This window comes from Homo sapiens, chromosome 17, assembly GCF_000001405.40.
Source record: "Homo sapiens chromosome 17, GRCh38.p14 Primary Assembly".
Lineage (NCBI taxonomy): Eukaryota > Metazoa > Chordata > Mammalia > Primates > Hominidae > Homo > Homo sapiens.
In genome coordinates, this window is record NC_000017.11 from 29,593,132 (window position 1) to 29,609,847 (window position 16,716).

A 16,716-nucleotide genomic window follows, 5' to 3' on the forward strand; every position below is an offset into this window, starting at 1 on the left:
CTCTCTCCCCATCATCCCCACATCCCCGTATCCCGCGCCGGCCGCTCGGGCTGAGGGCCGGGCTATGCAGCTGTGGGGACCCGGGGGCTGCGGGCGCGCGTCCCTGCGGCGGCGTCCCCGGGGCCCGCGTCCCGTGCGCCCCCGCGCCCGCTGCGGGCGCCTGCTCCCTCCGCCGAGCGGCGTCTTTGTGTGCGGGGGTGTGGGAGGCGAGCGCGAGTCCGCGCAGCGCCGCCGAGTGCCCGCTCCCTCCCAGGGCGGGTGGGGGCCTCTCCGCGCCGCCCGCCGCCGCCGCCTCGCGAGGACGCCCGTCGCCCGCGCCGCCCGCACCGCGCCGGGCGCGCCGCCCCCGCCCGCCGCCGCTCGCACATGCCCGAGCCGCAGCCCCGCGAGCAGGCAGCGCCGGCCCCCCGCCCCGCGGCCCCGGGCCCCGGCTCCGGCGCCGTCCCTCCTCCCCGGCCGGGCGCCGCGGCCCCGGCATGAGGAGCGGGCGATGATCCCCGCCAACGCCTCCGCCAGGAAGGGGCCCGAGGGCAAGTATCCGCTGCACTACCTCGTGTGGCACAACCGCCACCGCGAGCTGGAGAAGGAGGTCCGCGCGGGCCAGGTAGGAGCGCCTTCGGGGCGCCGCGGGGACCCCGCGGCCGGGCACGCCCGTCCGGCCTGGGGAGGGGGTGCGGCGCGGGCTGTCCCGCCTCCCTGGCGAGTTTGCGGCGCGTCTTTGTTTGCGGCCGCGGCTTTTGTGCTTGTTGACCGGGAAAGGGTGATCCCCTCCGGCCGGGACGGGCGGGACCACACGTGTTTCGGACTCACCTAGATGAGAGTAGAGGCCTCTGTGCCCCTCCTCCGCCGGGGCAGTGAGGGCTGCAGGGAGGGGCTGCGGGCTGTGTCGGTGTTCCATGTGGTGGGAGAGTCCGCCCCAGCCAGTTGAGCGGCGACACCTCCCGAGTGAGGGTGCGGAGGTGGGAAAGGCTTGCGTGGGGAGGGGGCCATAGGTCAAGAATGGGGAAGAGGCTGTGTCACACTCCCAGGCACCCCAGCCCCACCCAGCGCCCTCTCCCCAACGGTGAGCGCTTTCTCTTTTAGCTCTCAAACTGGGCAGATCCTTGGATCTCTCAGAGCCCAGCCCCAGCTCAGGAACAGGGAGTGGAGAAAGACCCTCTTGGGAGGCCCCAAGGGCCTTGTCCAGGTGCTGAAAAGCGCTCTCCTGCCCTCTGGTGCTGGGGCCTGGTTTCTAGGCGCAGAGGAAGCTGAGGGGCCCTGGCTGCTGGAAGGACTTGAGGTTCTGCGCACCAGGTGGGCTCCCTGGTTTCTGCTGGTCAGTAAGGCCACGTGGGTCACCAGCTTTGGGCTGGGCAGTGGTCTCCAGAAAACAGGGGAAGGGGGGATGTCTTCTGGCCATGCTTCAGGATGTCTTCTGGCCATGCTTCAGAACAAAGGCAGGCACAGGTCACAGATTGCCACTTCTGCCCTTGGCACCCAGGCCACAGGTAGGCACTCATGGCAGAGATGACCCCCCGCCTCCAGGGTGGGCTGCAAGAGCCAGAGCTGGGCCCGGGTCCCATGGCTTGCTGCAGGCTGAGAACCCCAGTTTTGGACTGGGTCTGAGACCTTGGGGCCATGGGCTGGGGGTGGTTAGCGCAGTTGCCCGCTGTGGGAATTTACCTTCTGAGGGCTGCTTATTGAGTCATGAGAAGTTCAGTCTGAGGAGCTGTGCAATCGCCAAGGGAAGCATGGAGGTGGAGGGCAGGCCATCGGACTGAGCAGGCTGGGGGTCAGGATGTGTCTCTGAAGTCCCACGCTGAGCCAGCCCCCAGGCCTGCATGGCATCCAGCTCTGCATGGCAGTCCCTGTAAATATGCGAGTGACCTGTGCCCGCAGGCCTCTGGGCCGGTCTGGGTGGCCACTTCCTGTTACCTGTGCCTATGCCAGCACTCTCCGAGTTTCTCCTCAGACTGAACTCCTCAGACCCTGTCTTTGTTTATCTATCATAAAGGCAGTGCTCTGCAGCCACGAGAAGCCTGTTAAAGAGAGTGGGTCACAGTGCCCCCAGGAAACAGATGAACAAACAGGGCATCAACCCCTGCCCTCAAGGAGTCTCTGTTCTGGTGAAGCAAGTGTGAACAGGAAATTCCAGGGTGATGTGCAAAGCGCTAAGACATGGCCAGCCAGCCTCTGCTGGCTCTTCTCTGCTTTCCTTCCCTGAAAGCAAAAGAAGACAAGCCTCATGTGGGAAGAACTTCCCAGGGGTCCAAGGATCACTAGGCAGAAGGCTGAATCTCCAGAATGCCTCAGTCCCACTCCCTTGCCTGAGGGTGGGTGGTCCTTTTACTGCAGAGACTGGAGAGAGGCAGAATGCCCTGGGAGAAAAGACTTCTCCAGCAGGCCTCTCTGCTGATAATCCTGAAGTGGGTGGCCATCTTGCTGGGGTAAGGTTGGGGTGGGGGGCACCGGAGCCGCTGCAGGTAGAGGTGTTGGGGGCTGCTCATGTGTTTCTCTCTCCCACCCCTCTGGCTGCCTCAGAAACAAGGTCCCAGATTCACCCCTACCCCTGCCCCAGTGAGTTAATGTCTCCTTGAAATGGACACTGCCTGTCCTGGATCCAGGCCAGGGGGAATATAGGGCACTGGTGGAGGTTAACCCTTGTTCAACCACAGAGGAGCCAGGCCAGTCCTCTCCTTCCCTCAGGCGTGCCAAAAAGAGGAATGCCACTCCGTGTAGGTGGGAGAGTTCCCTAGCTGTCTCCCCTCTCGAGGACTGGCCCAGAGTGAGGCTTGTATCCAGATGTACACTGCCTACTCCCCAGGGCACCAGGCTCTGTTTTCTGCAAGGGGGACCTGGGGACAGCCACCTAACATCATGAGAAAAGCACTGTGGAACCCTGGCATCCCAGCCAGGGGTCCCTGGCCTCTAGTCCCCCTGGTACCAGCCGCCACAGAAACAGCTCGGCTTTCCTCAAGCACTCAGGAGCCAGGTTTCCCTGGTCTTGGCTTGGCATAGCTGCCTCTTCTTCACTCCAAGAAAGCCCCGCAGAGGCCCTCCGTGGGCAGGCTTGGCAGTGCAGCTGGCTGAGGAGGGGGCCAGCATGGCCACCTTCAGAGCAGGTTAATGGGCTTTGCTCAGCCCCAAATTGCTCTGCTGGAGGCTGGAAGCAGGGAGTGATGGGCAGATAGGAGGTGCCTGGTGAAGGGAAGGGGCACCCAGCAGTGCTGTGATGCCAGCCCGGTGCCCTGCTTGCCGCTATGCATGTTCTCTGCCAGGTCGGGGGGGACAGGGTTGTAAGCCAGGGAATATGCCAGTTCCCCCTTGCCTGGCATGGCCAGCTGGGCATGGTCCTGGTTCTGGAGTCGTGAGTTCCTGGTGTTCCCTGGGGTGGGAACAGGGGGAAGGGTTAGCCTGTGCAGCTCCCGTGGGAGGGACATGTGTGGGCTGGGCCTGGGGAGCAGGACTCTGCCCCTGGCAACCAGAACCCTGAAGTGGGCAGATTGTGGTCCCAGAGAATCATTTTCCTTCTCCCTGGGGCGTTCTCCACCGTGGGCTTGCTTCCTGCTTTCCCTGTTCACCCTTCTGACCTAGAGGCAGGGGAGATGGGTTGTGGGGCCCAGGATGTGCGAGGAGCACCTCAGACCCCTCCCTTTGCCTACACTGGGCAGTCCTGGATGTGGGGCATCACCACAGCTGGTAAGCTAGGAAGCTCGGGAGAGGGAGCCACAAACCCCAGAAACCAAAAATCAATGTGTTCTGGGATGAGGGGGAGGGGCTGCAAGGGCAGGATGGGAGGGGTGACATGGAGGGAGAAGTCCAGGGTGCGGTCCCCACAGCCCGTGGCCTCCTACGCAGCTTGAGGATGCATCCTGCCTCCCTCCCCTTGAATGAGCTCAGGCAGACCTGCCCCTGCACCCCACGCTGGGCAGGAGAGGTCAAGCAACGACTACACCAGACTCCTGCCTTCCTCCTCGTGGGCTGGGGAAGGGGCTGAGCAGGCACCACCTTGAGCACAGGCTCTGCGTCCCTCACCTTCCTCGCAAGCACTGTGTTTAGTCCATACATGAGATGTATGCTTTTCATACTTCCCTTAACAAAAGGATTCTGCTCATGCTAAAGGAGTTTGGAAAGTACCCTGCTAGTGCACATGGGTGTGAGGGGTGTTCCTGTGCAAATACGCACACACACGTTACACAGGAGTGGACTCCTGCAGGGCCAGAAGGCAGCTGGGCATGCATGTGCTTGTACACTTAAGGGCACACGTGAGTACCTATGAGCGTACGAGTGTGTATCTGTATGGTACCAGTGTGTACTAGAGTGTGGTGTGTGTGCCTGAGTGGAGGTAGGGAGGCTCTCTGCCCAGGGACCCCCAGCTACAAAACTCCAAAGACTCCACCTTTTGACTCCAGCTGAGGCCTGCTGGGATAAGGAATCTCCGTTCTCTTGGTGGGGAGGGCTGGGTGTTGGGTTTCATGGGAAACCTTTTCATTCCAGCAATTAAATAGCTAGAGGCCTCTGCTGAGGAGAAGCTGGAGGCCTCTGCTGAGGAGATTAATGAATTCTCCTACCTGGGCCCAGGGCAAGGTGCCACTTACACTGCAGGCGGCACTCTGGGCTTGTGGGGAGAGCTGCTCTGGAGCTTGGCTGAGTGTATGGGGTTCTGCATGGGGTGTATGGGGTGCTGAGCCATCCAGGCCTCCCTGGGGAGTGCTCCTGAGGTGTGGGGATGGGGAGGAGCACCCTGCTTGCAAGGAAGTGCCAGCCGCTCTCTGGAGCCTGGAGCTGAGGCACCTGATGGGGAGGTGGAGGCAGCATCTGGAGCCCTGAGGCCAGGCAGCGGCCTGCCAGCTCCCTAGGGTCTTATTAGCTGCAGCGGCTGCGGCTGCAGCATCTGGGGCAGGGCTGGGAGGCCTGGATTGCTCAGCACTTCCCCAGTCAGCTCGGGCCCTGTGGCCCTCTCCCACTCCCGCTGCCGGGCTCAGGACCCCACCCAGGTTGCAAGCCCCGGAGTCCAGCCCAACCAGGATTGGACAAGAGTAAACAACACTCCCCTTCTCTGTGAGGGGCCACAGCTCAGAGGCCAACAGGGGCCAGGCCCGCTGGTTTTTTTGAGGCTCCCAGTATATTGAAAAATGAAGAAATTCCAGGACAAGGCTATAAAAATTATATAAATAATCTTAAATTATTTAAAATGTTTCATTTTTGACAATGGAGTTCATGGTCATGCTTTAAAATATTTAACTGTTGCTAGAAGATGCGTAATGAAAAGCAGTGCTCCTTGCTCCGCCTCTCCCACCTCCCCAGCACTCTGGACTCCTTTTGTCATTTACCTCCCTAATTATAAACAATATATTGTTTATACTGCCCTCTCCCCTCCCCTTCTCCCTCCCTCCCTCCCTTCCCTGCCTCCCTCCCTTTCTCTTTCTTTCTTCTTCTTTTTTTTCTTTTTTCATGAGACAGCGTCTCACTCTGTCACCCAGGCTGGAGTGCAGTAGTGTGATCACAGCTCAGTGCAGCCTCTGCCTCCCAGGCTCAGGTGATCCTCCCATCTCAGCCTCCCAAGGAGCTAGGACTACAGGTGGTGCCACCATGCCTGGCTAATTTTTGTATTTTTTTTTGTAGAGATGGGGTCTTGCCATGTTGCTCAGGCTGGTCTCGAACTCCTGAGCTCAAGTGATCCACCTACTTTGGCCTCCCAAAGTGCTGGGATTACAGACGTGAGCCCCCCGGCATAAACAATATACTTCTGCAATGATTTCTTGGTTAATTACCTTCCCCTCCTTGTGCCCCCTCAGCCTAGTACTCTATGCATTTGTCTAGCAAATATTTATGTGCCAGGTGCTGCCTGGGGAGTGGGGAACCAGCAGTGAACAAAGCAGGCAGGGACCTGGCTGATGGGGCTTCTGTTCGAGGTGCAGGAGGTGCTCAACAGGCACTTGGACGGGCAGTGGATAGAGCCATAGCAGCTGTTACCTCAGATGGGCTGTCAGGGTGGGCTTTTCTAAGGAGGTGACATTTGAGCAGCAGCCTGAGTGAAGGGAGGGAGAAAGCTTTGGGGCTCTCTGGAGGATCCTGGAGAACGTTCCGGGGAAGGCCATTGGCGAAGGGTGGAGCAAATGAGTTCAAAGAGAAGTCTGGGGCCATTGGATTCCCTGCTACCTACGATGGAAAGCCACTGGAAGATTTTGAACTAAAGAGTGTCAGGACCTGAGTAACACTTCACAGGGTGACTTTAGCTGCCATAGGTGAGGTGGACAATAGAGCCTGGCAACCGGGGAGCAGCAAAGAGGCAGTAGGGGGCTGCCAGTGAGAGATGGGGGGGCAACAGCTGCAAGGTAGTGGAAACTGGGCGGCTTCTAGGTCTGTTTTGGAGGCAGAGCCTACAAGTTTTTCTGATGGGTTAGATGTGGAGGGTGCGGGAAAAAGAAGAGATGTAGACAGTTTTAAAGTTGGTTTTTTTTTCCACCTGAAAATGCAGTAAATCCAGGTGATGTTTACTGTTTATGGGGGCAGGTGCAGCTGTCCAGGAATGCAGAAAACAAGGAAAAGTTAAGAAAGTCACTTCCAGAATGAAGAAGGCAAGAGAAAGGGCAGGAGACGTCATGGAAAGCCAGGCTGTCCCATTTTGTTTCATGAATTCAATGATCTTTTTATATTTTTCCTGAGGATGTAAATTACTGTTTTCCCCCAAAGAGTTTTCTTTTATTCCCTGCATCAAGAGAATTTCCTCTGGGTTCTTAGCATCTAATTTGTTTTTTTTTTTTTTTTTTTTTTTTTTTTTGATACGGAGTCTCGCTCTGTCCCCCGCGCTAGAGTGCAGTGGCGCAATCTCGGCTCACTGCAAGCTCCGCCTCCCGGGTTCACACCATTCTCCTGCCTCAGCCTCCCGAGTAGCTGTGACTACAGGCGCCCGCCACCACGCCCAGCTAATTTTTTGTATTTTTAGTAGAGACGGGGTTTCACCGTGTTAGCCAGGATGGTCTCGATCTCCTGACCTCGTGATCCGCCCACCTCGGCCTCCCAAAGAGCTGGGATTACAGGCGTGAGCCACTGCACCCAGCCGTCTTAGCATCTAATTTGTATGTTTTGGTTTATTTCACATGGGAAGCTTTCATCAAGTGTCCAGTTTCTCCTGGCTGTTGGGTCATATTTAAGAATGGGGCTGGGGAGCTCAGGGATGTGTGGGTGCTACTGTAAGGTGATCAGGTGGCAGGCTGGCCTGTTCATTGTAGGGTCACCAGATGTCTGTATTCTGAGGTCTTTGGGACAACTTCCTACTCGGGTAGATAGGGTGGTGGTGGTGTGACCTGGCTGCCAGTGGTTCAGGACCCAGGTAGGGAAGGGGCTGGGGTTTCACGGATCACTGGCTTTCAGCACCATACCTCATCCTCTGCTGTGGCCAATGCTCCTGAGTCCAGAGCATCTCATGCCCAATTTCTACAAAGAATAAACCCCTGGTGTCCTGTGGTGAGGAAGGGGGGCATCTCCCAGCTTAATGAGGCTGGGAAGGGGACCAGGGGATCCTGAATTGTAACCAGCCTCCCTGCACTCAGCTCTAGCTTCACCTCCACCTCTGCCATCCCCATTGCCTGCAGGTCCTACCTACACCTTTCAGGGGGGCTGGGGGTCACCTGGCTTGCTCCTTATGTGGACGTTTCCCTCTGTGGCTGCTTTAGTTTCAGCTTCCTCTGCTCCCCTAAGTCAGTTGTGAGGCCCCAGCCACTTTCCATGTTCTAAAGTTGTGTTGAAGTTTCTCATCTGCTGACATCTCTTCTCTTTATTCTTGTGGGTTTTAAATATTTTACTGACTTTTTTTTTTTTTTTTTTTTGAGACAGGGTCTGGCTTTGTTGCCTAGGCTGGAGTGCAGTGGGATGATCTCTGCTCACTGCAACCTCTGGCTCCCTGGCTCAAGGGATCCTCCCACCTCAGCCTCCCAGTAGCTGGGACGATAGGCATGCACCACCACGCCTGGCTAATTTTAGTATTTTTTTGTAGCACAGAGTTTCACCACATTGCCCACGCTGGTTTCAAACTCCTGGGCTCAAGTGATCTGCCCACCTCGGCCTCCCAAAGCTTACAGGCATGAGCCACTGCGCCCAGCCTGACATTCTTTTTTTTTTTTTTTGAGACAGAGTCTCTCTCTGTCACCCAGGCTGGAGTGCAGTGGTGCGATCTCTGTTCACTGCAACCTCCACCTCCCAGGTTCAAGCGATTCTTGTGCCTCAGCCTCCCTAGTAGCTGGGATTACAGGAATCCCCCACCACGCCCAGCTAATTTTTGTATTTTTAGTAGAGATGGGGTTTCACCATGTTGGCCAGGCTGGTCTCAAACTCCTGACCTCTGGTGACCTGCCCGCCTCGGCCTCCCAAAGTGCTGGGATTACAGGCATGAGCCACTGTGCCTGGCCTCCTGACATTCTTATACATTTAACATTTTTTGGCACTCTTCAATCCTTTGTACAGATTCAAGTTTCTATCTGGGATCATTTTCTTTCCACCTGAAGAACTCCCTTTAACATTTCCTGCACATCTGGCAATAAATTCCCTTAGAATTTGTTTGTCTGCCAACATATTTATTTCTTCTTCAGTTTTGAAGAATATTTTCACCGGGTATGGAATTCTAGGTCAATACCAGTCATACTGGATTAGAGAAAAAAAAAAAAAGAATTCTAGGTTGAAAGTTTTTGTTTTTGTTTTTTTCCCCCAGCACTTTAAAGATTTCATTATATTGTTTCCTGGCTTACATAGTTTCTGATGAGAAGAATATAGTATTTCCTGTATCTGTTCTTCCATACATAATGGACCTCATTTCTTTGAATGCTTTTAGGATTTTCTTTTTACCACTAGTTTTCAGCATTTGATTATGATGGACCTTGGTGTAGTTTACTTCGTGTTTGTCTTACTTGGGGTTCATTGAATTTCTTGGTTCTTGGCTTTATCTTGGTATTAGTTTCCACAACAAATTACTACAAACTAGGTGGGTTAAAACAACAAATATTTGGCCGGGTGTGGTGGCTCACGCCTGTAATCCCAGCATTTTGGGAGGCCGAGGCGGGCGGATCACGAGGTCAGGAGATCGAGACCATGCTGGCTAACACGGTGAAACCCCGTCTCTACTAAAAATACAAAAAATTAGCCGGGCGTGGTGGTGGGTGCCTGTAATCCCAGCTACTTGGGAGGCTGAGGCAGGAGAATGGCGTGAACCGGGGAAGCGGAGCTTACAGTGAGCTGAGATCACGCCACTGCACTCCAGCCTGGGCGACAGAGTGAGATTCCATCTCAAAAAAAAAAAAAAAAAATTTATTCTGTCACAGTTCGGGAGACATAAATACAAATTTGAGATGTTGGCAGGGTGGCAGTCCTTCCAAAGGCTCTAGGGAAGAGTCCTGCCTTGTCTCTTTCAGATTCTGGTGACTGGGCCACAACCCTCTTGGCTTGTGGCTGCAGAACTCTAGTCTCTGCCTCCGTCTTCACATGGCCTTCCCACCTCTCTGAGTGTCTTAGAAAGACACCTGTCATTGGATTTAGGGCCCCCTGGGTGATCCAGGATTATTTCATCTTGAGATCCTTAACTTAATTATGTCTGCAAAGACCCTTTTTTGAAATAAGGTCTCATTCATAGGCTGTGAGGGTCAGAATGTGATGTGGACATGTCTTAGGAGGGGCACCATTCTTCAACCCACCATAGTAGTTTTTATCAAGTTTGGAAAAATTTTGGACGTTCTTTCTTTCTTTTATTATTTATTTACTTATTTTGAAATGGAGTCTCCCTCTGTCGCCCAAGCTGGAGTGCAGTGACACGATCTCGGCTCATTGCAACCTCCCCTTCCCGGGTTCAAGCGATTCTCCTGCCTCAGCCCCCAAGTAGCTGGGACTACAGGTGCCCACCACCACGCCTGGCTAATTTTTGTATTTTTAGTAAAAATGGGGTTTCACCATATTGGCCAGGCTGGTCTCAAACTCCTGATGTTGTGATCCACCCGCCTTGGCCTCCCAAAGTACTGGGATTACAGGCGTGAGCCACCGCACCCGGCCTATTTCTCTAAATTTGTCTTATTTGTCCTACTTCTTTATTCTGTCCTTTGGGATTCCAATAGATATATGTTACAATGCTTGATAATGTCTTACAGATTATGAGGCTCCATAGAGACAGGGTCTTGCTCTGTTGCCCAGGCTGGAGTGCAGTGGCGTGATCATAGCTCACTGCAGCCTCGAACTCCTGGGCTCAAGGGATCCTCCTGCCTCAGCTTCAGAGGAGCTGGGACTACAGCTGCTTGCCACCATGCCCAGCTAATGTAAAAGTTGTTTTGTTTTGTTTTGTTTTGTTTGTAGAGACAGAGTCTTGCTGTATTGCCTGGGCTGGTCTTAAACTCCTGAACTCAAGCCAACCTCCCGCCTTGGCCTCCAAAAGTGCTGGGACTATAGAAGCCCAGCCAACTTTATTTTTCAGTACTGTTTTTCTCCTCTGTGCTTCAGTTTGGAAAGTTCTATTGCTGTCTTCAAATTCACTGATTTTTAAATTGTGCAGTGTCTAATCTGCTGTTATTTCCATTCAGTGAATTTTTCATTTCAGTTACTGTACTTACTATCTTTAGATGGTCCACTGGGTTCTTTTTTATACCTCTCATTCCTCTCCTCATGAACATCTTTTTCATGTTTTTCTTTAAACTCTTGAGTATATTGAGCCATCTATCATCTTTATCATTTCTGAGTTTTGTTTCTATGAAATTATTTTTCTCCTGATTATAGGTTATATTTTCTTTCTTTTTTTTTTTTTTTTGAGATGGAGTCTCTCTCTCTGTTGCCCAGGCTGGAGTGCAGGGGCGCCATCTCGGCTCACTGCAAGCTCGATCTCCTGACCTCGTGATCCACCCGCCTCAGCCTCCCAAAATGCTGGGATTACAGGCTCACGTGAGCCACCGCACCCTGCCTATAAGTTTTATTTTCCTACTTTTTGGCATATCTAGTAATTTTTAACTGAATTTTGGACATTGTAAATATGATGTTAAGCATCTGGATTTGTTATTGTTCTTTAAAGAGTGTTGGGCTTTGTTCAGGCAGACTAGGTAAATTACTTGCAAATCAGTTTGACCTTTTTGAGGCTTTTTTTTTTGAGACAGAGTCTTGCTCTGTCACCCAGGCTTGAGTGCAGTGGGGCAATCTCAGCTCATTGCAGCCTCAACCTCCTGGGCTTAAGGGATCCTCCTGCCTCAGTCACTGAGTAGCTGAGGCTACAGGCACATGCTACCATACCTGGCTAATTTTTTGTATTTTTTGTAGACATGGGGTTTTGGTATGTTGCCCAGGCTGGTCTTGAACTCCTAGGCTCAAGTGATCTGCCTGCCTCAGCCTCCCAAAGTGCTGGGATTAGAGGTGTGAGCCACCGTGCCTGGCCTTTGATGCTAATTTTTCTTTTTCTTTTTCTTTTCTTTTCTTTTTTTTTTTTGAGATGGAGTCTTGCTCTGTCACCCAGGCCAGAGTGTAGTGGTGCAGTCTTGGCTCACTGCAACCTCCGCCTCCTGGGTTCAAGTGATTCTTGTGCCTCAGCCTCCTGAGTAGCTGGGATTACAGGCACCCATCACCAAGCCCGGCTAATTTTTTGTATTTTTAGTAGAGATGTGGTTTCGCCATTTTGGCCAGGCTGGTCTTGAACTCCTGACCTCAGGTGATCTGCCCGCCTCCGCCTCCCAAAGTGCTGGGATTACAGGCATGAGCCACTGCACCCGGCCTGAGGCTAATTTTTAATCTGTTAGGGTGGGTCTAGGTGAGCCTTTTCTCTAGGGATAGTTTAGCTCTACTGCTAAGGCATAACCCTTCTGAGGTCTGATTAAATATGCATCTCCACTCTAGGAGGCTGGAGCTTGATTATCTCCTTGCTTTTGGTGAGCTCTGAGAATTTACCATTTTATTGCTCCTTTTTGTGTGGTCTTACTGAGTTTCACTATACACATGTGAAGTTTAGTATTCAGGAAGACTTGAAGAGACCCCTATGCAGATTTCTGGAGTTTTTTGAGTAGTTTACTCTTTTCCAGAACTGTGCTCTGCTGCAACCTTTAATACCTTGGCTTCCCTGAATCCTGTCTCCATCTTCTCAACTCAGGAAGAGCACCATGCTCTGCTCGGGCTTCCCCTCCTTGAATTACAGTCTGGAATGTTCCTCCAGGCAGAAATCCAGGGATGTTACAGAGCTCACCTTGTTCATTTTCCTTACTTCAGGGATCACAGTTCTGGACTTCTAAAAACAGCTATTTCTCTTTACATATATTTTCTATATAGAGAAATATATATATATACACACACAAACACACACACACACACACATACACACACACATATATATATACACACACACGCATATGTATATATATATTTGAGACAGCGTCTCACTCTGTTGCCCAGCCTGGAGTGCAGAGGTGTGATGATACCTCACTGCAGCCTCAACCTCCCAGGCTTAAGCGATCCTCCCACCTCAGCCTCTGAGTAGCTGGGACTACAGGCACAGGCCATCATACCCGGCTAATTCTTTTGTATTTTTTGTAGAGATGGGGTTTTGCCATATTGCCCAGGCTGATCTCTAACTCCTGGGCTCAAGCAATCCGCCAACCTTTGCCTCCCAAATTGCTGGGATTACAGGGGTGAGCCTCTGTGCCCAGCCTTCATATATTTTGCAGCAATAATTTTCTCATTGTTTATGGTGGCAGAGTAATTTCATTTATTATGGTAGGAGTAGAAGCCTTTTTACTGGCGTTTTAATCAAGTTCAGAGAAGAGGAGGGAGTTACATGCATGTGGTCAGTTCACTGTTCCTTTTTTTTTTGAGACGGAGTTTTGCTCTTGTCGCCCAGGCTGGAGTGCAGTGGCATGATCTCGGCTCACTGCAACCTCCGCCTCCCGGGTTCAAGCGGTTCTCTTGCCTCAGCCTCCTGATTAGCTGGGATTACAGGCATGGGCCACCACGCCTGGCTAATTTTGTATTTTTAGTAGAGATGGGGTTTCTCCATGTTGTCAGGCTGGTCTCGAACTCCCAACCTCAGGTGATCTACCCGCCTCGGCCTCCCAAAGTGCTGGGATTACAGGCGTGAGCTACCGCGCCTGGCCTGTCAGTTCACTGTTCTTAACCAGAAGTCCTAGACTCTCGAAATATATTTAAATACTTATGCTTAAGACCGGGCGTGGTGGCTCACGCCTGTAATCCCAACACTTTGGGAGGCCAAGGCAGGCGAATCACTTGAGGTCAGGAGTTAGAGACCAGCCTGGGCAACATATCAAAACCCCGTCTCTACTAAAATACAAAAATTAGCCTGGCATAGTGGTGCTCGCCTGTAATCCCAGCTACTCAGAAGGCTGAGGCACAAGAATCGCTTGAACCTGGGAGGCGGAAGTTGCAATGAGCCAAGATGGCACCACTGCACTCTAGCCTGGGTGACACAGTGAGACTCTGTCTCAAAAAACAAACAAACAAACAAACAAACAAAACTTACGTTTAACAAACATGCTTTCTAAGCCAGGTGCAGGGGCTTGTAATCCCAGCTGCTTGGGAGGCTGAAACAGGAGGATTGCTCAAGCCTAGGAGTTTGAGACCAGCCTGGGTGACATAGTGAGACCCTGTCTCAAGTAAAAAAAAAAAAAAAAAAAAAAAAAAAAAAAATCTTTTGTCTGGGCACTGCGGCTCACACCTGTAATCCCAGCACTTTGGGAGCCCGAGCCAGGTGGATCACCTGAGGTCAGGAGTTCAAGACTAGCCTGGCCAACATGGTGAAAACCCATCTCTACTAAAAATACAAAAAATTAGCCAGACGTGTTGGCGAATGTCTGTAATCCCAGCTACTTGGGAGGCTGAGGCAGGAGAATCGCTTGAACCTGGGAGACGGAGGTTACAGCGAGCTGATATCACGTCATTGTACTCCAGCCTAGCCAACAGAGTGAGACTCCGTCCCCCCAAAAAAAACACAAAAAAAAACCCCAAAAAAAGCTTTTATCACTTTTATCACACAACAGAAATCTCATGCAATGTAATCATGTTATTCACAAAATTATAGGATTTGTACAAATTTTAATGCATAGTGTCCCACAAGCACAGGACATGGTTGTGAAATTGTATTAATACCATGAACTTGTTATTTCATTCCTGTCTGTGTATTACTGTAACCGTTTGTTAAACCTCACTCAGTGATAATGTCAGTGATCTAAATTGGTAGCTCTTCCTGAAGGTGGCCTGGGACCCTTAGGGTAGGTCTGGTCCCAGGTGAGCTCCTTGGCCAACAGCCTCTTTGCCACCCCACTTCAGTCCCAGGCTTATTCTTGGCAGGCAGGCCACTGGGCCCTGGAGGAGAGGACCCAGCCAGGGGCCCTTGGTGGACAGGAAGGGAGGAAGCCCTCCCTCTTCCAGAGTTACTTTCTGTCCTGTCTTCTAAGCCCCTTTCCATCCACGTGTCTGTCTTTCCGTTGCTCATAGTGTCTGTCTTTCCGTTGCCCATAGTGTCTGTCTTTCCGTTGCCTTGTGAGGTTGGTGAGGCAGAGCAGCCCCAGCAGGGGGTGGGGGTTGCTGCCTGCTCCAGGGCTGTCTGGCTCCGGAGGGCTGCCTCCGACGTGACTGGGGCTTTATCTTCCACTCCTCCTCCTCCTCCAGGTGGACATCGAGCAGCTGGATCCCCGCGGCCGGACTCCCCTGCACCTGGCCACCACGCTGGGGCACCTTGAGTGTGCCCGTGTGCTCCTGGCGCACGGCGCAGACGTGGGCAGGGAGAATCGCAGCGGCTGGACAGGTGGGCAGCCCTGCTCACCCCAGCCCCACAGCCGGGGCCTCCCCAGCATCATAGACCTATGGTTGGCTGAAGGGTCCTGCCCTGTGACCTTGCCTCGCCCTCCCCCAGTGCTCCAGGAGGCTGTGAGTACCCGGGACCTGGAGCTGGTGCAGCTGGTGCTTCGGTACCGGGACTACCAGCGGGTGGTGAAGCGGCTGGCGGGCATCCCCGTGCTCCTGGAGAAGCTGCGCAAGGTGAGGCCCAGCCTCTCAGCCTCCACGGGAGCCCTTGAGCCCTTCTCCAGTGCAGACTTAGCCTCTCTCCCCTTCGTCCTCCAGGCCCAGGACTTCTACGTGGAGATGAAATGGGAGTTCACTAGCTGGGGTAAGCGGGCTGCAGCAGGTCGCTTCTGGGCTCTCCCACTTTAGGTCCTGCGCTTGCTCCCCTGCCTGGAATGTGTTCTCATAGTTCTTCCGGCGGTTCCCTCTATGCCTTAGCTCAGCTCAGGGCCACCGCCTCAGCTAGGCCTTTCCAGATTGCCCCAGATACTGTCTTGACTCCATTATTATTCTCTTCACTCTGTCATGATTTGCTTACTGTATTCATGACCTGCCGCTCCTTGTTAGAAGGTAAGCTCTGAGAGGGCAGGAGTCCTGTCTTTTTCACTGTTGTATTCCCAGTGGCTGGAACACTCAGTAGGTGTTTCATAAATATTTGTTGAAAGAATGGATGAAAGAGTGAGTGAGTGAATTAACAAATGATGGACACTAGGGACTTAGTGGTGACAGAAACATGCCCGTCCCGACCTCAGGTTGCTCTTCTGTGTGAGTATGGTCTACACTGGCCAGGGAGGGGGTTTTGGAGGAGAGGCTGCTCTCTCTTCAGTTCCCTCCCCTGTTCCTGGCCACACGGATCCCAAACCCCATGCCCTGAGCTGGTCCAGGCCGTGTAGGCCAGACCAGTCAAAGCCACCTCCAACCTCCGCTTCCACCAGTGCCCCTGGTGTCCAAGATCTGCCCTAGTGACACCTACAAAGTGTGGAAGAGCGGCCAGAACCTGAGGGTAGACACCACACTCCTGGGCTTTGACCACATGACCTGGCAGCGAGGGAACCGCAGCTTTGTCTTCAGGGGCCAAGGTCAGGCAGGCAGGAAGTGGGGCAGGGTGGGGACGATGGGAGGCAGCCCCAGGCCACCCCTGATCCCCCTGTGCTGTTCCGTGTCTGGCAGACACAAGCGCCGTGGTCATGGAGATTGACCACGACCGCCGGGTGGTGTACACAGAGACTCTGGCACTGGCTGGGCAGGACCGGGAGCTGCTGCTGGCTGCTGCTCAGCCCACTGAGGAACAGGTGCTGAGCCGGCTTACCGCGCCCGTCGTCACCACTCAGCTTGACACCAAGAATATCTCCTTTGAGAGGTGGGTGGACATGGCCTTGGTCACCCTTGAGCCAGCCCGGTGGGGTGCCTGCCTCACCTGGACCACTCTGCTTCCCCAGGAACAAGACTGGCATCCTGGGCTGGCGCAGTGAAAAGACGGAGATGGTGAATGGGTATGAAGCTAAGGTGAGGCTGCAGCTCCCAGCTGCCAGCCCAGCTGCACTCTTGCCTACAGCAAGCTGTACAGGGGATTCTGACCTCCCTTCCCCAGCCCTGGAGGTACAGAAGCAATGCAGCGTGGTCAAGCACTTATATTTGGGTTCAAGGCACTTCTCTGGTGTTTTATATGGATGTATGGATGTATACACAGGGCACGTGCACACGCACACACACACACACATTTATTCCTCACAGCAACCCTTTCTGGTAGGTGCTGTTCTGTTAGTATTCCCATTTTACGCATGTTTATTGAGTCCTTTCCTTGGCATCCCATTTACTCTTCACAACAACCCCAGGAAGTAGGGATGATCGGTCCATTTTATGATGAGGAAATAGAGGCTTAGAGTGGTTCTGTGACCTGTACAAGGTCACACAGCTGTTAAGTGGCAGAGT

At 53.2% G+C, this 16,716-nt stretch overlaps 1 protein-coding gene across 11 annotated transcripts in view, besides 1 other annotated feature; it reads left to right on the top strand.

Moving 5' to 3' along the window:
* The window catches only part of ANKRD13B (ankyrin repeat domain 13B), a 21,630-nt gene continuing 4,914 nt past the window's right edge, over window positions 1-16,716 (top strand). For 6 of the 11 annotated variants that reach the window (XM_005257920.6, NM_152345.5, XM_047435327.1 and 3 more), the window contains exons 1-7: window positions 1-604; window positions 14,611-14,746; window positions 14,855-14,979; window positions 15,064-15,109; window positions 15,720-15,863; window positions 15,955-16,144; window positions 16,224-16,290. In XM_005257920.6, coding sequence (XP_005257977.2) covers window positions 65-604; window positions 14,611-14,746; window positions 14,855-14,979; window positions 15,064-15,109; window positions 15,720-15,863; window positions 15,955-16,144; window positions 16,224-16,290 — 1,248 coding nt within the window. In that variant the 5' untranslated portion in view covers window positions 1-64. Of the gene's footprint in view, window positions 605-751; window positions 1,064-1,088; window positions 1,488-6,291; window positions 6,318-14,610; window positions 14,747-14,854; window positions 14,980-15,063; window positions 15,110-15,719; window positions 15,864-15,954; window positions 16,145-16,223; window positions 16,384-16,716 lie in introns of those variants that run through there. The other 5 variants (XM_047435326.1, XM_017024175.3, XM_011524319.4 and 2 more) reach the window with 5 other exon arrangements.
* Window positions 1,120-1,189: an enhancer, noted in NCBI's record as "active region_11982". NCBI's record gives its function as "activates an Ori minimal core promoter by ATAC-STARR-seq in GM12878 lymphoblastoid cells {active_cell/tissue: GM12878}" and the evidence as "EXISTENCE:reporter gene assay evidence [ECO:0000049][PMID:35858748]".